The sequence below is a fragment of the Homo sapiens genome, chromosome 15, assembly GCF_000001405.40.
Source record: "Homo sapiens chromosome 15, GRCh38.p14 Primary Assembly".
Classification (NCBI taxonomy): domain Eukaryota; kingdom Metazoa; phylum Chordata; class Mammalia; order Primates; family Hominidae; genus Homo; species Homo sapiens.
The window spans coordinates 33831931-33855712 of record NC_000015.10 but is presented as its reverse complement, the minus strand read 5'-3'; the positions used below and the strand labels follow the sequence as shown (position 1 = coordinate 33855712).

Below are 23782 nucleotides of genomic sequence, written 5' to 3'. Positions count from 1 at the left end.
CTATGTGTATAACAACCATATACATATGTGTGTGTGTATCTGAAATCATTGGCTCTTAATTGGATGCAGATATCAGAAATATTGGCTCTTAATTGGATGCAGATATCAGAAATACCTGGGGAGTTTTCTGTGTACAGTATGTCTACTTGCTAACCCCCAGGGAATATATCAGATTCATGGAGGAAGGGGTAGACCTTAAAAAGATCTCCGGCCGGGCACGATGGCTCACACCTGTAATCCCAGCACTTCGGGAGGCCGAGGCGGGTGGATCACCTGAGATCAGGCGTTTGAGACCAGCCTGGCCAACATGGTGAAACCCCGTCTCTACTAAAAATACAAAAATTAGCCGGGCATGGTGGCATGTGCCTGTAATCCCAGCTACTCTGGAGGCTGAGGCAGGAGAATTGCTTGAACTGGGACCTGGGAGTCGGAGGTTGCAGTGAGCCAAGATCCCACCGCTGCACTCCAGCCTGGGCTACACAGCGAGACACCGTCACAAAAAAAAAAAGATCTCCAAGGTCATTCTGACATGTCCATCACCTCCCTCCCTCTCCTGGTTGATCTAAATGTCAGGGGTCACTGAATCAAGGTCTTATGCTTTTTAGATGATGGTTGCAGTTACATTTTTAATTGGCTACAATTTTGCAAAAACAATCACCATTAGTTGAAGTGTTTGGCCAAGAAAAGTACATTATATACCAAGACATATTCCTTCCTGTCATATACTGTATACTACCTGCTGTTCTTTTTTTCCTGTGCATATACAGGTCCATTCTGTTCTGCATCAGTAGAAACCATACCTGTTTGCCATTGTGAGTTACAGATGACAGAATGGTCCTCAGTGTCTTGAAGCCCATTGCGATGTCCAATAGGTGAGCAGCAAAGAAGAAGTTATTGTAGTGGCCCAGGACTGACATGGTTGTATACCAGGCAAGGTAGAGAAAGGACTGGGAATGGAAGAAAGCAGACTTTTAAGCATGTTTGCCTCATAGTGTGCTCATTATAAAACATTTTTTCTTATTTTGGGAGACACACTGAGGATAGAGGGGGTTTAGGTGCTGAGGTGCTGTGAGCTGGCCCAAGATCTGCTAAGTGAGCCCCATCTACCTTATACCATTGTATAAGTGTTCCCCCAGCACGTATAAGGCTCTTGGTCTTTGATAAGCAATCCCTGAACCCTTCTGAGCATCCTGCATAGCTTGCTTCTCTGTGGCATCCCTGAACTGGGGTATAGAATTTTGTTTTTCCAGGTGCAGTACTTACGTTGTCAGTAAAAACAACTCCAAGCTTCCAGATATGGTACTTCATGTCTATGGAACTTAGCCTAGAGAAGAACAAGTGATTTTAAAACTTATAAATGTCAAGAGGTAGTTAAGTGCTCAATAAGGGGGAAAAAGTAAGTTTTTTCTCTCAGGTTTAATAACCTAAATATGGCTCTCAGCTTTATCAAGTTGTATGTGCTCCCCATGAGACAAGAGAACAGTTGAATCACATAGCCTGAATTTTTTTTTTTTTTTGAAACGGAGTCTCACTCTATCACCCAGGCTGGAGTGTAGTGGCGTGATCTTGGCTTACTGCAACCTCCACCTGCCAGGTTCAAGCGGTTCTCCTGCCTCAGCCTCCCAAGCAGCTGGGACTACAGGTGCCCACCACCACGCCTAGCTACTTTTTAAAAATATTATTAGTAGAGACGGGGTTTCACTATGTTGGCCAGGCTGGTATCGAACTCCTGACCTCATGATCTGCCCACCTCAGCCTCCCAAAGTGCTGGGATTACAGGTATGAGCCACTGCGCCCAGCCCAACCTGAAATTTTAATTAAGTCTTTATCTTTCAGCTCTATAGGGCATAAAAATGTATTAGTCTTCAAATTTTTAAGGCAGTGCTCTCCCAGTGTTAGAACCTAGAAGAAACACCTAAGCCAGACCACAGCCTGAGAGAACAAAGACACGGTTGTGATTTTTTCCTATGGAAAAGCAAAGATCTATCTATTTTAGCTGCTTTGGATTTGAACTCCTAAGCTTTTTGTACCATGACACCAGAGAAGCCGCTTCTGCTTTGGTCTCTTCTACTGGGCTAAAGTCAAGAGCATTTTTGTCCAAACCCAGAAGTTCAGCAATGCGTTCTGCTCCGTAGAGATCTCCATACTTGTTGATCACCTGAAGCAAAGGATGACAGGGTGAGCTCAGGCCACACGCCACCACCAAATATTTTCTAGCTCTGGGGTCTTCAGAGCTTTGCTGCCCTATGGGCAATCTTCCAAGGGGTAGATGAAGACATAGTTCAAAATGCAGAAAAAAGAGAAAACCCAGAGAAAAAAGCAATGAAGACAATTAAATGATAACTGTTTTTTAAGCTGATACTGATATCTTGATTTGCAGGGGAGAAAACATCTACTATGCAGAAAACAATGAGGACTGTGTTAACTTGTTTAAGGCAGATGAGTATATGAATGAAGCCAAAAACCTACATATGTTCATATCCAACCCCTTCTGTGACTTACTCTTCTTGAGATATTATCATAAAAGTAGCATCACATTTACTCATGTTTGTATGTGGAGAACTTAAAAAACATACACCACATTTTTTGGTGATCACGGAACTCACCCCCACTAACAAGGCATACCTTTCTCTTTACAAACTTGTCCCAGTAGTTATTAGGAAAAGATCTGAAAAACAAAACGAAAAAGGTTGGTTCTTCATTCTTAACATCAAGGAAAACACATCAAGAAACGTTTCAGTTTGAGTGCCTGGATCTGGGATCTTTCTGGTTTGTGTCCTGCTCACCAAAGAATTTTAAGATCTGATTGAAGTTCAGAGTCATCACAGGCTCTACTGAGTCATGTATGGCTTCATTACTTTGTATTGGCTTTTGAAACACTCAGAAGGCCACTGGGCAGTTTCTGCCTCAGAATTATGATTTGGAGCCAAGAATTGTGATGACAGATTAGACAGAGACAGTTGTATGTTTCTAAGTCCTTTCCCTAATCCCAGTATAACCAGAAACAAAATGCTACAGAAAACACAGGCATTCCATTCAATGAGTCACTACTTTATGTCACCTACTGGGGTAGATAATGGCGATGCGGGATGTGGGGTGTGGTAGAAAGTGTAGATAAAGTCCCTAACTATATGCAGTTTCCAGTCTGGGAATCACCTTTAGTTTATTTACATTGGATTTTTTAAGCTGAGTGTTTTTCCACTCTATTTTCTATTCCCACGTAATGCCACAGGGCCTGCTTTCCTCCAGGAGTTGGATCCCTTTCTTTTTTGGAGATGGTTCTGTACCATCCCCTAGCATCCCCAGAGAGATGATCTTTCTTCTCTCTGTAGCTTGTACCAGCTCCACTGCAAATATTTCTTACTGTTAAAGTTAAGAAAGAACTGTCATCTTCAGGAATGCTTGCAAAAACCATTGAAAATATGTTGTTCCTATCCAGAATTACTGAATCCTTCCTGTGGGGGGGTTCCTTGTAAGACTGGATTGCAGCCTAGGAGTCTCTGGCCTTTGGTGCATGCATTCTTACTTTTGTTTTCCTTTATTTGATTCATTCTTTTTGGTTCTAGAACACAACAGTTCCCTATTCTCCAGAGACCACCCAAGTTGGTGATAAGGAAATGGAGACCTCCTACTATTCACTGACCTCTCATGCCGCCTCTCCCCCAACAGGGTGGCAGTATTTAAAAAAAAATGTTTTTTTTTTTTGGTTTGTTAAAGCAGTTTCTTTGTCTTAAACATTTAAATGCCACTTGAAAGCAAAAACAAATGCTGGTGTTACAGAGTAAACTGCTAATATTTTATCTCTGGGGGATGAAAATAACAATTATTTTGACTTTCTTCCTTGTACATTGCTCCTTGATTTTTTTATGCACTGCATTTAAATTGAAAATAAAACAAATAAAAATCAAGCCATGCGCTCTCTGCCACACTGATACCTCCTTTCTCTTAAATCATTTATACAAATGGTAACATACAACTCAGCCTGGTCGCATTTTCTCCTAAGCAGAAGATTCCACGAGTGATGCTGAAGGGCCAAGGACCACAGGCTCTGGGCATGACCCCTTCATAGATGCGGTCTTACCTTCATCTGAGCATTCTGAATTTCTTGTCCCCTGACTAGGTATGCAAACTCCTTGAAGGTAGAAAACAGATTTTTTACTTGTTACGAGTCCTTAAAGTGTGGCATAGAGAACAGACCTTCAGAAGGAAAGTGCATAAATAAAGAGTACATCTGTACATGAATGTTCAGGGAAAAAGTACAAGATGCTTAACCCATTTAGTAATCAGGGAAACATACAATGAGGTGCCACTATACACCTACTAGATCAGCAAAATTATCTGCCAGCAATAAGTGCCAGCAAATAAGCAGAGAAGAAGAAACTCGAATATAGTACTGTTTGGAGCATAAATTGGGACAAACATTTTGCATATCCTACTATTCAGCAAATTTCTCTCCTGGGTCTATACTCTAGAGAAATCCTTCAACTTGTGTATCAGGTATAAGAATGTTCACTGTAGCACTGTTTATAAAAGCCAGAAACTTTAGAAAACAAGTTGAAATATCTACTGTCAGGAAAATTGATCAATGTGATAATATACATAATGGAAAATGCTACAGCTTTGAAAATGAACAAACTATAGCTATATACATCAACATAGGTGAGTTCCCAAACAATGCTAAAAAAAATTCAAGTGACAGTATAATGTATATAGTATAATTCCACTTATATTAAGTTCCAAATAGTCAAAATAGTCAAAATATATTTAGGGACAAATACCTAAGTGGGAAAACTATAAGGCAGGAGAATGAATATCACTAATATCACTGATTGCTAATTATTTAAGAATTAATATTACTAACCACTAATGAACATCAAAAATGTAGATAGCTGTGGGTTGGGAAGATATAATCAGGGAGGATAATACAGGGGATTTTTAAGCTCTCAGTAATGTTCTATTTTTTTAACCTTTTTGGTTTATAATTATACTGTAAAATGTACATATACATTTTATATGTTCTTATGTGTGCTTAACAATATAAAAGTAAAATGTTTAAAAAGAAAGCTCCCATGACATACAGTTAACTGAAAAAAAGCACGTTACAAAACATGAACATGTACTATGATGCCATTGTGAAAAAAAATTAAACATTGGTCTATCTAACATTTTAAAAAATAGCTATTTATTTATGCATTTCCTACTCATGGACGTTTAAGCCACTCTAAGTAAAAAATATTGGGAAATACCTTTGTTAGGACATTTTAGTGTACTTGTCTCATTATCTCCTTAGGATACATTGCTAGAAATTGAACTGCCTTCTTTTTTTTTTTTGAGATGAAGTCTTGCTCTGTCGCCCAGGCTGGAGCGCAGTGGTGTGATCTCAGCTCACTGCAACCTCCGCCTCCCAGGTTCAAGTGATTCTCCTTGCCTCAGACTCCCAAGTAGCTGGGATTACAGGCGCCCACCACCACGCTCAGCTAATTTTTTTGTATTTTTAGTAGAGACGGGGTTTCACTATGTTGGCCAGGCTGGTCTCGAACTCCTGACCTCATGAACCACCCGCCTCGGCCTCCCAAAGCGCTGGGATTACAGGCATGAACCATTGTGCCTGGCCGAAATTGAACTGCCTTCTTACTGGGACTTTTAGGCCACATGCCCCTGTATAACAAGACGCAGGCATTACTGATGATTGCACAAAGCTTACCAAAGGATTAAACTATTCAATAGTGTCTAAGACTTCTGTAATGTAATGACAAAGCATCAGAAACAGTGCTTTTCCTTGTGTGAGAAGATTGGCAGGGGACCCGCAGGCAGGGACAGACTTAGGATGTGAGGATGTGCCTGTTCACATTTTCCCCCTTCTAAGGGAAGAGGCTTCCTTTTCTGGAGAATATAAAGAAATAAATATCCTTAGTTGTACCTTTGCAGAGCTGCTTCTCAGTTTGCCTGATCATCTTTGGATAGGACACAGCTTTCTTCCCCTGGAGTCAGGGTTGCTGTTTCTTAACATGCCTATCTTAATTGGCACACCTAAGAGTTTCAACACAGTCACCTTTGTTTACTATTTGGCCCTATTTCTTTTCTTTTGCCACATTAATTTATCTTGAAACTGTCACTTACTTGTGAATCAACTGTCATTAGAGTGTGACATTTGCTAATGGTGATGGCCACTTTTTGGATAGTTACAGGAAAGAAAAGAGAATGAGTAACAGCTTAATGCCTACCACGTGCCAGGCATTTGCCAAGCATTTGACACATACATTCATTAATCCTCTGCAGGATGATATTCTCATCCTTCTATTACTGATGAGGAAACTAAGGCTGAGAAGGCTTGATTACCTTGTGCAAGTTCACAGACCAGTAAGCGTCAGAGCCTTGGTGTCACCTGCCTGTCAATCAGTGCTCTTCCTTCTTCCCACCACAGTGCCACATGCCTACAGGAAGGCAGGCTTGCCTCCACAGGTCTTCATATCCCTACCAGACGGCTCTATTTACCTGCCCATGTAATTGCCTCTCAATCTTACGTTAAGACGAGGTCTCTTACCAAGCAGGCTATTTGGTTAAGAGGAGGACTTCAGGCCGGGCGTGGTGGCTCATGCCTGTAATCCCAGCACTTTGGGAGGCTGAGGTGGGTGGATCACCAGATCAGGAGATCGAGACCATCCTGGCTAACACGGTGAAACCCCGTCTCTACTGAAAATACAAAAAAATTATCCAGGCGTGGTGGCAGGCGCCTGTAGTCCCAGCTACTCGGGAGGCTAAGGCAGGAGAATGGCGTGAACCCGGGAGGCAGAGCTTGCAGTGAGCTGAGATCGCGCCACTGCACTCCAGCCTGGGCAACAAAGGGAGACTCTGTCTCAAAAAAAAAAAAAAAAAAAAAAAAAAAGAGGACTTCAGAGATGGCAGTTATAGCAGTGCTGTGCCATGGAAGGCTATGGAAAAGCTGAAGCTGATCAACTTGATCTCTAGACGCCTTGGCCACTTAAGCCCTGGAAACACTGTGTGACTCGAACATGGAAAACTAGTTTAAGCAATATTGTACTGGACTGTCTGGTCTAAATCAAATATATTCAGTACTTTCTGATAATATCTTCTGTCCCCATTAAACTAATAGAAGTCTATACAAGTATTTGATGGGCAGTAAGTGGCTTTATTGAAGAGGCAAGGGAGAAAAGTCCTAGAAATCAAAAGACAGTTTATATTAACCAGTTTTAAGGCCAGGAGGAAAGAGTTACTCTATTTACAGTAGAGACTCCATCTCCTTTTTAGGTTGGGGTAGAGGGACACTCACGGTGTGTTGATCACCAAGCGGTCCCACTGCCCCTTGATGTCATCTTCAGATGGCTGTTCGGTGATATATAGGCCATCAAACTCCAGCTTCCTGGCGATTTCTTTTTCCCTTTTGAAAACCACCAAAGGCACCTAGGAGTGGGAGGAGGATGGTTACTCAGAGCAGGCTTTGTGATTAAAGCTCCTGCTCCCAGGTATTTGTCACAAATTAACCTTCCAACTTCAGAGCAGCAATCTCCTTATAGTGGAATTCTTAGAGTGCCTAGTTGTGGGATCAAAGCCAAATGAATCTCTTTGGCTAAATACCTACCTACCTCTTTAAAGCTGATCTGATTTGGGTCACCCTTTAAGTTTTCAGTTAGATGGCTAATATTAATACAAACTAGACTCCTTGACCCATGCTAGTGTGCAGGCCACGCCTAGATGAGCCCCAGGGTTGAATGAGTTAGGACTCCTAAGGCTCCTCGGCTGGAGTTGAACCAAGATTTAGAAAGGACAATAAACCATTCTAGAATAGATCGGCCAGCCACAGGAATATGATGAAATGTTCCAACTCCCTTCAATGTACAGGGCCATATTTATCTCATGGCGTTGAAGGTCAGTTAATGAAACATGGTCTCATAGTTAGAATGAGAAGATTCAGTCTTTCTGTATGAAGTTTTCTTCCTGAGATTCTGTCCGTAAAGAGCTCCTTCCAGGTAGTGGCATACTTGTTTCCTACTATCACTCTCTATTCTTTTATAATTGGAACTTTTATTTTAGACTAGATATAGTGGTATGGCTCTAAGGACCTACTGCCAAAGGGGAACACAGAAAGGGATTGGAAAATAATCCACTTGCCCCAACCATCACTAAGTGCACACACACTCCAAACATGGGACAGTTAATGAGGCCAGAGGATACTGCTGAAATCCCAGGAAATGAGAAGTCACAATTGACGCAGCTCCTCTAGCCAGAAAAGCTTAATTCAGACAGAGCTAGGGCGTCTCATCTCATCTCCAGCTGAGATGCCACTGGCTACTTGGCAACATCCTTGAGACCTTTGTCTCCAAACCCATGATATGCATGTACCCCACATCGCTTTTGTCCAAAACAAAAGAACAAAATTCAGACAGTGATTTGTAAAGAGTTACCTCTTGCCCTGTTTTTCTTTAAAACAATGAAATAACACTGATAAAATGAAAAACTCACGATAGGAAGGTGGCAAAGGCTAGTAGCCACTGCACACTGTGAGGAACTGATGATGACTGTTAGTACACAGATGATGTGGGAGGTGAGGCAAAGCTCAGCGACTAATGCCTGCCGTGTTTTGGATGACTCTAGAGAACAGTAGTAATATCAAGTTGTAGAGCGGTGCTCATCTCTGGGATTCCAAGCATTCCCCTTCAGTCTCCTAGAAGTTTGTATACTCTCGTAAACAGAACTTCCACATTCTTTACTTGCTAAATAGTGTTTCTTTTTTGTTTCTCCTGGTCACAGTATAATCTGTACTCCATCTAATAAGCTGAACTCTAGGATCTCAAACTAAGGAGCAGCAGCGAACATGCTTGAGGGTTTACTATGTGTTCTGAGTACATTTACACATACCTCTACATTTAATCCCCCCAGCAACTTTAGCAACAGTACTCATTTTTATGTATGAGAAGATAGAGGACTGGGAGTTTAAGTGGCAGAGCTGTGAGTTCAACCCAGGCAGCTTGGCTCCAGAATTTGCACTTTCATAGTTGCAATAGAGTCCTTAGTGTAGCCCAGGGCATAAGGTCTCTGCAGCACAGTAGCTGGACTTCCTACATGACACAATAGTTCACTGAGGGAAGAAAGGACCACAATATAGGAAAGTATTTCCTGGACTCTTCCTGGGAAGAAGATGGCTTGCTGTACTTAAGGAGACTTCCTACTCAAGAGAAGGAAGAAAAAAATGTAATGAGAAAAGCAGTGAGAAAAACACAATTATGATGTAGCAGAACTAGATCTGGACTTGGGACACCAAAAATTGAATGACAGAAGATTGACATAACTGTAGTGGTTGTGAATATGGCCCCAAGGAACCACGCCTCCTGGAATTCATGCCTTTGTGTAGTGCCTCTCCCCTCTACCATGCAGCAGTGCATCTGGGATGGCCATGTGACTTGCCTTAAACCACAGAATGCAATGGAAATGACACTGTACCAGTTCTGGGCCTAAGACCTAGGAAGGCTTAGCAGCTTCCACCTCCATGCTCTTTTTGGAAACCCAAGCCATCATGCAAGAAGTCTAGCTACCCTACCGGACAGATCATGTGGAAAGGCCACGTGGAGAAGGAGATGCTCTGAATCTCCCTGGAGAGAAAGAGGGAGACAGAGAGAGGCCCAGCTACCCCAGCTGAGCCCATCCTTCCAGTTGTCCCCCTGTGGAGCTGCCAGGCATGGGAATGTGCCATCTTGGCCATTCCAGCCCAGCTGAGCTCGCAGATGGCTGCAAATGTAGCGCCTTTACATAGAACAGAGGAACTGCCCAAATGTGCCAGTCATCTCACAGAATCACAGAGATAAATAGTTGTCATTTTAGACCACTGAGTTTTAGAGTGGTTTGTTATGCAGCAATGGATAACTGAAAACTAACACATCAGTAAGCTTTCTTCTGAGATCTTGAGTGGTTACCACCTAATGAAAAGGTATTTTTATAAAAATTTTGACATCAATTCAAAGATCAGAAGATTCTGTCATGACTAGCTCTCCATGTGACTTTAGCCTGATGACTCTAGTTCTATGAAATTCAACAAGAGGTACCTGAAATGGGACTCCTAGCTCAAGGCTTCTCAAACTTGAAAGTGCGTACAGATTGCCCAGTGATCATGCTAAGTGGTAGATTCTGAGTTAAAGGACTTAGGGGCTGGGCGCAGTGGCTCATGCTTGTAATCCCAGCACTGTGGGAGGCCGAGGCAGATGGATTACCTGAGGTCAGGAGTTCAGGACCAGCCTGGCCAACATAGTGAAACCCTGTCTCTACTAAAAAATACAAAAATTAGCTGGGCATGGTGGCAGGCATCTGTAATCCCAGCTACTCGGGAGGCTGAGACAGGACAATTGCTTGAACCTGGGAGGCGGAGGTTGCAGTGAGCCGAGCTTGCACCACTGCACTCCAGCCTGCGAGACAAGAGCGAAACCCATCTCAAAAACAACAACAACAGAAGAAAACCTATGGTGAGGCCTGAGACTCTGCAGGTCTAGGCAGCTCCCAAGTGATGTGCTGCTGCTGCTCTACGGACCTTACGAAGGCCTTTACGGCTAGCAAAGTCTTAGAGCAAAGGGCTGGCTGGGCTCAAAAAGGACATTTCTTCCTCAAGGAGTGAGATTAGATCCAGAGTGGCAAACAGCTCACCTTCAGGCAGTAGTAGCCCACCACACAGACTAGAGAGATGATGGTATGGATGATGGCCAGGGCACGCAGGGTTGGTGCCATATACCCGGTGCTCTCCTGAAGGACAAAGAATACCATCGCTTCTTCCTCTTCCTCGTCATTAAAGGAATTCCATAGGTTTGCAACATCCTCTGTCTCTTCTTCTAAAGGTTCTTCAGTGACCTGGCTCAAAATACACACTCGCTTATTAAACATCAAAAAGAACCTCAGCCATTGGGCTCTCCCCACATATTTTATATTGTTAGCATGTGCTATACAAATAGTAGTGACTCAACATTACTTGCTGAATGAATGAGGTTTTTAGGTGACTTATTACTAGGAATCACCCAGTATCTCTAATAATTGCAAACAAACTTTTAAAAAGGAGACAAAACCTATCTCTTGAGAAGAAAGCAAAAAAATTAAAATTAGGCAACTTTTACTACATATGCTTATAATCCTTATGCCACAGAAGGGAATCTCTGATCATGCTGTGGCCTGAGAGGAGGCAAAGACACACACACAAGCGTGAAGGATGTGTGTGCCCGCTCCCCCACCCACCACTGCCACCCAGCCAGAGACTCAGTATTTTCCATTCTTTCTGAGATGCCATTTACATTCATGGCTTCAGCCGCTATTCTTATACAGATGACTCTCAAATCTACAACTTTGAGGCTTTGTCCTGTAGCTCCAACTGCTTGCTGGCTTTCTCTTCTTGGATGGCTGTCTGAAGTCACTTCAACCTCAATGTGTTTAAAACCAAGCTTTGCCTCTCTTGGCTATGGACTTCCATTTTTCTTTTATGGGCAACAGAAGGTCATTAGTTTGTCGAGTGGAAAGTTGAGGTGGATAAAACAATGTTTCATACAAATTAGATTGGTGGTTTTAAGTAGAAAGGGAGATAGGCAAGAGATAGAAAAACCAGTTAAAGACTATGTCGAGAATTCAGGACCCTTCATTAATTCACTGCACTAACAATTATTACATGCCTACAGCATGCAAGACCCACTTGCCAATGTTCAAAACCTTCATTTAACTTGAGCAGTCCCCTCTCTTTCCAAATCCTGTTAATTTTTCCTTTATAACGCTTCTAACAAATAGGCCAACTATAATGGCTCTTGGTTACCTTATTCCTTGAAGAAAGAATTTTATTTATTACTCATTTTGAAATACCTTGTTGTTCCTAATACAGGGTCTAGCTCATGGTAGATGCTCAGCAAGTATTTGAAGACTAAGCAACGACTAAAATAAGCATGAACTATTGAAATAGTCCCCTCACTGGCTCTCTTGTCAGTAGTCTCTCCACTGCTAGAAATTGTATTCCTTTTAGAAGCCAATGTCTTAGAAATTTGCTACCTATTAGAATGTTTGCTACAATTAAGAGCACAAATTCTGTCATGATTCTTTTTCTACACATAGCATACTTAGTATACAGCATATTTAGCAAATAACCCCTGAATGAAGTATCACCTTATAAAAAAGCAGGATGAAGTTGATAGCGAAGGCTACAAACAGAGCAAGGAACCTCAGGTTGTAGAAATTCCTGGCCAGGTAATGCTGCAAAGAAAAGGACAGGCAGAAGTAGAAGAGCTTTGGAAGGAAAAGAGAACTTCCTACTTTCACACAGAAGGTCAGTTCTGGTTAGAAGTTCACACTTGACTCGTCCTACTCTTTGATGACCACTCTTCTAGGGTAACCCTGGCATTCTTTTCTTTCTTTTTTTTTGAGATGGAGTCTCGCTCTGTCCCCCAGGCTGGAGTGCAGTGGTGCAATCTCGGCTCACTGCAAGCTCCACCTCCCGGGTTCATGCCATTCTCCTGTCTCAGCCTCCCGAGTAGCTGGGACTACAGGCGCCCGCCAACACACCCGGCTAATTTTTTTGTTTTTTTACTAGAGACGGGGTTTCACTGTGTTAGCCAGGATGGTCTCGATCTCCTGACCTCGTGATCCACCCATCTCGGCCTCCCAAAATGCTGGGATTACAGGCGTGAGCCACCGTGCCCGGCCAACCCTGGCATTCTTAACACAGCCATGGCATGACTGTGTCGTGTCATGAACATGGAACCAAAATGTTGATTTAAAAAAAAATTGCTTAGAATTGGTATAAAGAATCCTGCTCTGGCTTTATTGCTCAGGGAGCCAAAGGCCTAAACACGCCACCAGCAGAGGACTCGAGCCTTGCCTTGAAGTGCTGTGTGACTGCATTTTCGTGATCACTCCACGCAGCAAGCAGTCTATTAGGAAACTGTAAGTGGTCTAGGCTCGCAGAAGACCCTGGCAACTCCCAACCTGGATGTAGCCATTCTGTGGCCTCAGTCCTCATTCCTTTCCAAGTTACAGTTCCAGGAGCCTCTTCTTCTCCCTTGTTGGGAACAGCATTCCCATTCTTGCTGCCATCTTCCCCAGAAAAATCAGCATCCACAGACTGGAGTGGAAGCTGCCTGGGTAACGTTCCCAATCTCTCTGTGGGGAGCCCTCACTAATGGTGCTAGGGAAGGTGTGGTCCTGGCCTTCAGCCACTGTACCTCAGAGGGCAATGTATCAGAGAAAGAATATTACAAGCTGTTCTAAGCTTTGATTGCATATAGAACAATCAAGGTTTGGAGGACTAGTGTGGGAAGCTAACATAAGAGGAACATTCTTTCTGATTCCCACGTGATCAAAACACTTCTGAACTTTTGGACCAGGATTGGCTAAGTCCCCACATAATACACATAAAGGACTGGGTAGAAAGAGGTGTTCCTGCTCTCCTGGTAAGGAAACAGGTGAGAGAGGACACCCTGCTGATAGCAGAGCTGCTGGAGGACTGTGGTTCTTTCCAGGCTCTCCCCCTTTTCTTTTCCTCCAACAGAAAAGGAATAGGTAGACACATGGGAAGAAGAAAGTTTAGGAATGAGAAAGGGGAGGAAGTGTAACTGACCAAACAGTGAAACAAATCAGCGGCACCTCTCTGCCATCTGCCTGGGCCAATCCCTGCACCATGAACAGGGCCAAGGTTGGAATGCTTACCAGTAACTTGGTCTGATAGATTTCCAGCCCTTTAAAGAAATTGGCTGTGAAAGCTTCCGGCTTCTCAACCTTCTGACCACACCGCCGCTTCTTCTTTTTTGTCACTTCTGTCCACAGGTACTCAGCTTGCTCCTCTTCTTTGTCTTTGTCTTCCTTCTCTCCATCTTCCATGCTGCAGAAATGGGAAACCCACTCAGCAGGGCAGACGGGAGGGCGGTCTGGCCCAAAAAGGGAGACTAGATTAAAGAGAAATCTGGATTGAGAGGGCCGGGAGGTAGAATCATTCCTTGAAGGTGGAAACTTCAGGTCTTTATCAATCCACAGTGGCTGGACATTAAATTTATATTCAATGAGGATGAGCCATGATCTTGGTGAACATCAGCTATATACAAGTTTGTACTCTTCTTCTGAAATTAGACTTAACAATTTTTTTCCCCTTCTGAAGTTACCCTTTATTTTCTAAGCAATAGTACCTACTCTTCCACACTTCTGGCAAGATTTAATAAGATATTGTATAAAAGACCTGAGCACAGGCCTGACACATAATAGGTATTTAACATTAGATATCACTGTCATCAATATATGAAGTTGCAAAGTCATCTGGCCAGATAGTGAAACTCTGATCTGCTAGTGGGATTATAAACTTAGCATGATAAATATAAGGTATTTATTATATAGCTAGGGTAAAAGGAAATATACCCAGGGCTTGCAGAATAATTGCTTGCATTGACAGATATCAAGTTTTCTATTTACTATAGCGACAGAATATCAGATGCTATCAATAACTATCTTTATTTTCTTTTTTTCTTTTTTGTTTTTGAGACAGGGTCTTGCTCTGCTGCCCAGCTTGGAGTGCAGTGATGTGATCTTGGCTCACTGCAGCCTCGACCTCCTGGGCTCAAGCAATCCTCCCACCTCAGCCTCCCAAGTAGCTGTGACTACAGGTGCACACCACCATGCCCAGCAATTTTTGTATTTTTTGTAGAGATGGGGTCTCATTATGTTGCCCAGGATGGTCTCGAAGTCCTGGGTTCAAGTGATCCTCCAGCCTCAGCCTCTCAAAGTGCTGGGATTACAGGTGCGAGCCACTCTGCCTGGCCTAAGAATTATCTACCATAGCAATGAGAGTAGTTGATGCTACCAAGAACTTACTCTGCCTTCTCGGATTCTACTTTTCCTTCTGCTTCATTTGCTGCTTTCATTTCTGCTGCCTAGACAAAAATAACAATTAGTCAAGCTTTCCTCAAAGAAGCGAGGTCATGATGATGAGACATTTTCTTGGCCATTTGCTTCTTGGTCACAAATTTCAATGGCTTTTCATGTTTCTGCTTCTCTCAGGATCACTGAACATAAGTGTCCTGCTATATATGTCAAGTGACTCTGAAGAGATGCCAAGACAAAGATTTGAAACTTGAAAACTCAACCTCCCTTCTATAACTTACTCAATTCAAAGAGGAAACTTGTGTTAGGACATTGTAAGAGCCTCAAGGCGGTGGTTCTACTGCTCCACAGGGTCAGAAAGACATGGGACACAGATCAAACCAAGTTTGATCAGCCTGCCTCCATCTGACAGGCTTCTTCTTGCCTTGTCTTTAATCCTCTTGCCAGTATCCCAATCCCTCTGGCTGAGGACCACTGCAGTTAGAGTAAAATTCAAGCTCCTCAACACAGCCTATGAGTCTTGCATGATCCCGGTGTTTCTCTTCATCCCCATCTTGTACCATTTGACTCGTGTCCCACACCCAAACACGCAGACTTCCTGGAACATTCCCGATCATTCCAGGAGTAATTCCAAAGGATACTTAGCCATATCCTCTGCCTGGAGTATGCCTGCCCCAGCTTTTCACGTGCCTGCTGCTCGTCAGGACTTGACTCAGATGACACCTTTTCAGAAGCCTCCTCTACCTATTTCTGTTGGGCCTACATTCACTCTGTAACTCACTGCATGTTCATGTGTTCTAACACGCAGCACAAATGATAATTATCTTATTTGTTGTCTTCTCCCACTAGAAGTTAAGATCCATGAGAGCAAAAATGTTGTTTTCTGCTTTGAACCTATGTATTCCTGTATCCTAGAACACAGGCTGGCACATAGCAGTCCTGGAATGGGACCCTATTATGTATCAAACTGTATTCTAGGTTTTGGGGCTACATCAGGGAGCAAAACAGAATATTGTGGGAATGCTGATTCTGATGTTTTCTTCCCTGAATCTTCGAACCAGCGTTCTCTCCTACAGAGAACTATAGTACCTGACATTTCTCCTTCCTAGCATTCTTTATACTTGTCTTGACTTGTCCAATGCCTTTATTCTCCACTAAGCTGTAGGGACAGTGTGTTTCTTATTCAGCACCATATTCCCAGAGCCTAAAACAGTGACAAAGCACAATAACTTTTCAATAAATAATAATGGAATGAATGAATGAATGTTTTTGGGCTTGGATCTTTTCACACTTCTCTACTCTCTTTGATGCTAGAATGACACTGTGAATTGGATACTACAAGAGAGGGGAACACCCAGAACCTTCCATGGTCAAGGGGCTCTGAATTCCTGCTATCTTGTTCACTTAATCTTGTTGACTGACATGAAGTACTAACTGAACAGTGAGTGTATCACAAGGATAAAAATGTCCCAAGCATGATCAAACTCATAGAGAGGCCAAATCATAAGGATCATTTTGACCTTTTATGACACTGAGAAAGCACGGACTCAGAAGGAAGGTCTCCTTTTATGTTATTCTTCGTTTCCTGTGCTTTCAGTTCACTGAATGCATCTGCACAGCATGAGAACTAACCTTCTAATAAAAGTCTGAGGCAAAGTGTCACAGGCCATCATGTTTGAATTCTACAATATAAACTAGACGACCAACCAATGACTAGGCACTGAGATAACCATCTAAGTCTTGATTTCTGCAGACATGTCAGAGGTGGAATTATAAGATCAGCGTAATCACACCACAGCCACTGTCTAACATAGAGTGTTGGCTCCTAGGGAAATGGTGTCAGTACTGATTACAAGATATGGTGGCAAGTCTTATTCTGGGGATAAAGGAAGATGAAAGAAACAAATGACACTTACCTGAGCTTTCCTCTTCTTCTGTACAGTACTCTCTAATGTAGGGGGTTCATCCTTGCCAATAATTTCTGAGAGGTCACCCAAACCCACTTCAGGCCCATGCTTTAAGCTGCCCTCTTTCTTTGGGTGGAGTCCAAAGAGGTCTGACATGATATCTGTATCTCCCTTCTCCCCCTTTATGAAGTGTACTAGTTCAGTGGTGATACCTGGCTCCATCACCTCTGCCCTCTCAGCCTCCATAGTGTCATCATGGATACCAAATTGGGTTGGGTCAGGCATGTCACCCAGGATCTTGGTCACTCTGATGTTCTTTGCCCCTTCTACCAGGCCCCCTCCAAACACTGTGCTCCAGAGGATCTGAAAGATTCCTCCCAGGATGGTGAAGAGCAACTGGAATAGCCCCACGAACAGCATCCAGAAAAAGGAGAAGAGCACCTTCACCAGCTCCTTCGCAGTCATCTTTTTCACGTTCCTGTACTGCTTCCTGAGGTTCTTCAGGGTTGCTCTCTTCAGGAAGTCGGTGACATTCCTCTTCACAGAGGCACAGGCCATAGCAAATGCAGAGGCCGGCTCAAGAGACCCGTCTTCTTCCTCTTCACCCGCAATTTCTAACACGTAAGAAGAATCTTCATCTTCTTCCTCCTCTTCTGGCCTGTCAGCTGAATCGGATTCAGAGATCTGAGATGCTAACTGCATTTCAAAGATGGTGTCCTCACAGAAGTTCACAAACAGCTCCATCTTTTCCTGCTCCCCACCTTCATTGACAACATCAAAAATGAACTGTCGCTTAGATTCCTTCACCTGGGGCTTCTCCCACTGAGTGCGACTGGATTCACTGATCTCAAAATAAACACGCTCAATCTTCTTGGCCCCACCCATGATCTCGATGCGTCCTAGGTAGGGTTCGAAGTAATTTAGCACACTTTCTGCTGGGTCCAACAGACACTTCAGGCGGGAATCGTTTGGCATGTGTTCAGAAAGATTTGTCAATAACACAGCCACATTAAACCCTATGTCCTTGGCTGGCTCATGGAACCGGTCTACAAAATCAACGTAATTAAACATGTCATTCTCATCAGCTTCTGCACACGACAGGAGAAAGTCAATCTCTGACTGCGTGTACTGTTTTTGCCCTTCCATGGCCTTCTGGAATTCTTTTTTGGAGATAATTCCTTTACCATCTGGGTCATATTCTTTGAAGGTGTCTGAGCTGGTTAAGTCTTTAAGTTTCAAGAACATGTCAAAGAATTTCAAGATCATTTCTACATTGGTAGATGATTCTACCAGTGTGTCAACCATCTGCTTGCCAATGGTGCCATTTACCACATTCCCTGTGAGGCAGGTTCAAAAAGACATACAAATATACAAATAAACCCAAGCTATCATGTCACTTGTCAGGTAGCTATTTTTAGAAGACTTTTGTGCCAAATTAGTCAGCTCTTCTCTGACCGTGATGATGTAGGAGGGAGCAGCAAGCCATAAAGACTACACCACTAGGAGCCAAGGGGGAAAGAAACAAAGGGAAGAAGGAGGTGGCCACACCACTGCCTTTAACATGGCCTGGGGCCTGGGAAGTGGTTTCATTATTAGATTATCAGGGACACATAGGGATACATGGTGTCCCTTTGATCCCCTTAGACCTAGGAGGGTGCCCAACTAGATGGCTGGCATACACACTGGCAGCCAGATGTGTTGAAAAGCAATGGGGAGAGGGAGAGGATAGGGAAGAGCAAAGCTTGGAGGTTTTCCCCAGTTCATTCTGGCTTTCCTATTGATAGAAAATCAATTGATTTCAGGCTTCGTCCGTCAGACCAGGTGCCCCTCATTTTATTTTTCGTTTCTGAAAATTTGGCTTTCTGACCAATGTCATATGGCATCAGTGACCTGCCAGAAGGATAATCTGCATGATCAGTAAGGTTAGTGCTCAGACCAATTACAGTTGTGTGAAGGCCTAGTTATACCAAACAGCCCAACCTTCCAGGAGGGACAGAAGCATCACCACCATGTCCTGAAGGAGATCCAAGAGTTCCTTCAGCAGCTCGATCTGACTGGAATCCTAGAACAGAAACAGGAGATACCCCTGAGCTATCTGATCCCTCAGTAAAGTACAGGGCAGTGAGCGAGAAGAGCCTGCTCTGGAAAGGTTAGGTGCAGGCTGCATCAGTGTCGGGAAAGAGCTTCCTTCTCATTCTGAATGAGGATGCCTTATCGTCCACTGTTTGCAGCACCGGGAGACTCACTGTAGCAGGACTCATCCAACAAAGCTCCTTTACATTTTTCCTTTTATTAGTACAATGTGGCAGATATACCAAGTGTTGTCCAAAACGGCTGAACAACCCAATGCACCAAAGAGCCTTCAGGTATCTCTAGTAGTTTACGTTGTCATTATCTACACTGGAGAATTACCAGTGAGCTTTATGGGAACACTGGACATCTGGTAAAGGTATCAAGGTTATAATCACCAAGTGGGTTCTCCTTTCTTTCTGGATTAATTTAGAGTCTCCTAATTCTAGTTGGTGGTGATCTGGGTGCCACTTGTCCCTTTAAATGGAATAAAATGGAGGCTATTCCTCTGGATGGTTTTGATACCAGTCTGTTTGGTTTTAATTTCAGCAATGCAGGAAGAGCATCGCTAAGCTACCTCCGTGCCTTATACCCTATGTCACAGTAGGAAACAATTCTTGGAAGATCTGAGGTGGGCAATCTGGGGATTTGATTAAAAAGGTATTCCGAGTCACATACCTTTTACAGACCCCCCCCTCACAAAAAAAAGGAAAGAAAAGAAATAATAATAAAAAAAAAGCAAAAGAAAAGAAAAGAAAAAAGGAAAAAAAAAAAAGAAACCAAAAACCAAAAACCCAACCATAGCTCTTTGCCTAGCCCTTCAACTTTCAGAGGAATCTTCATCACCTATGGTGTGTATCACAGCTATATACAAAATATCACAGAAGTGTAGGATATCAGAGCTGTGAAGAGACCTCAGAGATCACCTATTCTAACTTGGGATATTTCAGAGATGATGAAACCAAAACCAGAAAGGGAAAGTGGCTTTCCAAAAGTCACTGGTGAGGAGGTGGCAGGGCCAGGGCTCTTGTCTCGAGACTACACTACACTGCCCAGCTGACACAGGAATGGACATCTTACTGTCAAATTGCAGCCCTCCCAGGAACTCTCTCCTCCCGTAAGGCCAGAGTCAAAAGGGGAAAAATGAAAGGTTAAATAGCACATTCCAGAAGAGAGGAGGCAGATGTGACAGCCTTGAAAATTTTAGATACACATGATTTAAGTTAAAGCTGCAAATGTTACTCTAATCAGCCTCAAATACCTCCTGAAGGTCTCCCTCATGTGTTGCCATGGAGAGAGGCAATAAACTGCTACATATGCTACATTTATTTGTTCATAATAAATGCTCTGAGCGGTTCTGATTCATCTTGCCAGAGAGATGGGGAGTGAGAAGGAGAGGCAGAGACAGGGAGGGAGGGAGGAGGAAGCAGGAGTGAGAGAGAAGAGGGATGTGGATTACAGAGACATGCAACATGGGACAAGTCAGACGGGGCTGGTAGAGTGTTTGTAAGTTGACGAAATGGTGGCAAGGAAGCAGAAAGGATTAGCACCACAGAAAGCAAATGTTGAGGCAATAATAAGGGTAGGTTGGTGAGACACAAAGAAGGAAGCTGCGTTCATGCAAAAGCCTGTCTGGGACCCCGCGCCCCTCCGAGGCATTCATTTCCATCTCCCATTTTGGCCTTCAGTTTAAAAAACTGAGACCTAATATGCATGGCTTGTCCAGCCTTTGATCAAGCAGCCACATCACAATGGGAACACCAAGGAGTGAGGACTGACTTAGCATTTCACAACAATGACACGTGCAGGGAATGGGCCACAGTACCTGAGAGAGTTTCATCTGCATATTAGCAAAGACATGGAGGAAGCCAACCACTGCGTCCCACAGCCTGCTGTGAGCCAGGCTCTGTTGATTACCAATGCAAGGGCCCTGCAGAGAAGAGGACATTCTTATGTCACTTAAACATCACAAGTTGCTCTGAAACCTGTCTAGTAAGGGCATCTGATACCTACTTATATGAGCAGATAGACTTTCCAAAAGTCAAATATTTCATAGCTCAGTATTTTCCCAGGATTATTACTTTTTTCTTTTCCTGATTATAGGATACCATATCTAGGAAAAACCACTAGGGATTTCACAGTCCAGTGATTTTCAGATACTTTCTTTTAGCCTCAGAATGAGTTCTTAAAACAAAAGCTTACACTGGAGAACAATATTTAAAACAGTGAAATGTTGTGGTTGACACAGGGCTGAAGGGCACACTCCCCACCCTCACCTTGGCCTCAGAGGCCTTTGGAGGAGATCAAGGGTGCTGCGAAGCACAGTGTGAAAACCAGGCCCTCATCTACCTATTGTTTCCAGGCAAAGTTACACATGCTGATAACCACACAGCTATCTAATTAAGTTAAAAAAAAAAAAAAGAAAAGAAATCTGTGTAATAATCTTAGCATTCAACCACGTCTAGGATTTTCTTATTAACCTAAACTTCATATATAATAGCATCTCTGACGAACTTTTCTGAAAGCCAAATGTAGAGGAATAACTTAGTTTGCATTTTCCATGTTAATCTCACTGTGTGTGTGTGTGTGTGTGTGTGTGTGTGTGTGTGTGTTTAAGACAGATTTTTGCTCTGTCACCCATGCTGGAGTGCAGTGGCATGATCTCGGCTTACTGCAACCTCTGCTCACTGGGTTCAAATGATTCTTGTGACTCAGCCTCCCAAGTAGCTGAGATTACAGGCATGTGCCACCACGCCTGGCTGATTTTTTTATATTTTTAGTAGAGACAGGGTTTTGTCACATTGGCCAGGTTGGTCTCAAACTCCTGGCCTCAAGTGATCCACCCGCCTTAGCCTCTCAAAGTGCTGGGAGTACAGGCATGAGCCACAGTGCGCGGTCAATAATCTCACTCTTTTTAAAGATCATTATTGAGCCAACATTTCTTATCTTTTCTTTACAGTCTATTTTTTTCTACCCTTTAACCAATCTCCAAATTACTCAATAAGAAAGTTCTAAAAGGAACACATATATTACCCTAATTTCTAGAAAAGTCTTGGCAGGATTCCCAAGGTTTAAAAGGTGAGGAGAAATACTGCCTGCATTCCCAAATCACGTAAGTTTGTTAAAAATCACTGTTTATGTACATTCAGTGTCTGATCCCTAGAAACCATTAGATTCTTTCTGTAACAAAGCTGGTTTCTGAAAGAAACACATTCACCAAAAATGAGCTTCTCCTTTACTTTTGGGTTCGTGCTCCATGGGAAGTTCTGAAGATAAGGATGGATTTTGCAGAGATCAAATCAGATGCTTATCAAATATATTCAATGATCTCCTTAGGTACACTGCATTTTGTGAAACTTCAGATCAGTAACTTATTTTTAGGTTTATCACTTCATGTCCTTATAACGCTTGAGTGACAAGGATATATCTCCCCTCAAAATCCTCCTTTTCAAGTTGACAGTCTTAGTTTTGTGTTTCTTTTAATGAGCAAATATGATCTGACTGTGCCAGTTGGCTCATCACATGGATCTTTATTTGATGAGAATTTAATATTTTTCATAGAACAAGTTTTGGCTCAGTCATATTACCAGTAAAAACAAAAAAAAGTCACTAAAAACTCTTGGACTCTTGGAATATAAAAAGTTCTTTGGGAAAGAAATGAAGGTGTACAGGAAAAGGTAAAAAACATTGTCCACTTCTTTCCTCACCTATGTCTTCTGTCTCAGCAAGATGGATATAATTGCCGACATTATTTCTTATAAAGCCACGCATAATCCTATCTCTAACTTCTCCAAATCACTGACACAGAATGTACTTCCTCCTCTTCATCTATCCATAGCCTACGTGGTCCTATGGAGACTCGGAGCCCTTTGGCTCTTTTTTTTTTTTTTTTTTTGAGACAGAGTTTTGTTGCCCAGGCTGGAGTGCAAAGGTGCAATCTCAGCTCACTCCAACCTCTGCCTCCTGGGTTCAAGCGATTCTCCTGCCTTAGCCTCTTGAGTAGCTGGGATTACAGGCACCTGCTACCATACCCAGCTAATTTGTATTTTTAGTAGAGATGGGGTTTCACCATGTTAGCCAGGCTGCTCTCGAACTTCTGACCTCAGGTGATCCACCAACCTTGACCTCCCAAAGTGCTGGGATTACAGGCCCCAGTGAGCCACTGCACCTGGCCCCTTTGGCTCTTAAGGGGCTTGCTTTCCTCTGAACTCATACGTATGTAGGGTTTTTTTTTTTTTTTTGAGACAGAGTCTCGCTCTGTCACCCATGCTGTAGTGCAATGGCGCGATCTCGGCTCACTGAAACCTCTGCCTCCCAGGTTCAAGCAATTCTCCCTGCCTCAGCCTCCTGAGTAGCTGGGATTACAGGCACCCACCAACACGCCCAGCTAATTTTTGTATTTTTTAGTAGAGACGGGGTTTCGCCATGTTGGCCAGGCTAGTCTTGAACTCCTGACCTCAGGTGATCTGCCCACCTTGGCCTCCCAAAGAGTTGGGATTACTTGCGTGAGCCACCGTGCCCGGCCACATATGTGGTTCTTAATTAAGCACAGTATATATGATTATTTTAAATCAGGTATGATTTTTTCTTTTCTTTTTTTTTTTGAGACTGAGTCTTGCTCTGTCGCCCAGGTTGGAGTGCGGCGGCGCGATCTCAGCTCACAGCAAGCTCTGCCTCCCGGGTTCAAGTGATTCTCCTGCCTCAGGCTCCCGAGTAGCGGGTACTACACGCGCACGACACCATGCCTGGCTAATTTTTTGTATTTTAGTAGAGACGAGATTGCACCATATTGCCCAGGTTGGTCTCGAACTCCTGAGCTCAGACAATCCACCCGCCTCAGCCTCCCAAAGTGCCAGGATTACAGGCATGAGCCACCGCATCTGGCTGTATGATCATCTTATATTGAATAATTTTCCTTGTGCATATGTATTTTCTCAATTGCACTGTAAGCTCTTTACGGGTAGAGG

The 23782-nt window shown here is 43.2% G+C and overlaps 2 protein-coding genes across 24 annotated transcripts in view, besides 1 other annotated feature; one reads left to right on the top strand and one right to left on the bottom strand.

Moving 5' to 3' along the window:
• The window catches only part of AVEN (apoptosis and caspase activation inhibitor), a 223545-nt gene extending 219613 nt beyond the window's left edge, over positions 1–3932 (top strand). For 3 of the 6 annotated variants that reach the window (XR_007064476.1, XR_007064478.1, XR_007064479.1), the window contains one exon: positions 768–3932. The gene's annotated coding sequence lies outside the window, so the exon portion shown is untranslated. The remainder of the gene's footprint in view (positions 1–767) is intronic. The other 3 variants (XR_007064480.1, XR_007064477.1, XR_002957667.2) reach the window with 2 other exon arrangements.
• The window catches only part of RYR3 (ryanodine receptor 3), a 555136-nt gene that overhangs the window by 10390 nt on the left and 520964 nt on the right, over positions 1–23782 (bottom strand). For 14 of the 18 annotated variants that reach the window (NM_001036.6, XM_047432931.1, XM_017022468.2 and 11 more), the window contains 12 exons: positions 20641–20745; positions 18726–18807; positions 16755–18082; positions 14830–14888; positions 13678–13849; positions 12139–12225; positions 10651–10851; positions 7292–7422; positions 2626–2668; positions 2031–2158; positions 1264–1324; positions 801–947 (listed from right to left, as the gene is read on the bottom strand). In NM_001036.6, the coding sequence (NP_001027.3) occupies positions 801–947; positions 1264–1324; positions 2031–2158; positions 2626–2668; positions 7292–7422; positions 10651–10851; positions 12139–12225; positions 13678–13849; positions 14830–14888; positions 16755–18082; positions 18726–18807; positions 20641–20745 (2544 nt within the window). Of the gene's footprint in view, positions 1–800; positions 948–1263; positions 1325–2030; positions 2159–2625; positions 2669–7291; positions 7423–10650; positions 10856–12138; positions 12226–13677; positions 13850–14829; positions 14889–16754; positions 18083–18725; positions 18808–20640; positions 20746–23782 lie in introns of those variants that run through there. The other 4 variants (XM_017022475.2, XM_047432932.1, XM_047432933.1 and 1 more) reach the window with 3 other exon arrangements.
• Positions 1532–2731: an enhancer, noted in NCBI's record as "CDK7 strongly-dependent group 2 enhancer chr15:34145183-34146382 (GRCh37/hg19 assembly coordinates)". NCBI's record gives its function as "activates an origin of replication core promoter dependent on BRD2, BRD4, P300/CBP, MED14 and CDK7 cofactors, with strong dependence on CDK7, by STARR-seq in HCT116 cells {active_cell/tissue: HCT116}" and the evidence as "EXISTENCE:reporter gene assay evidence [ECO:0000049][PMID:35650434]".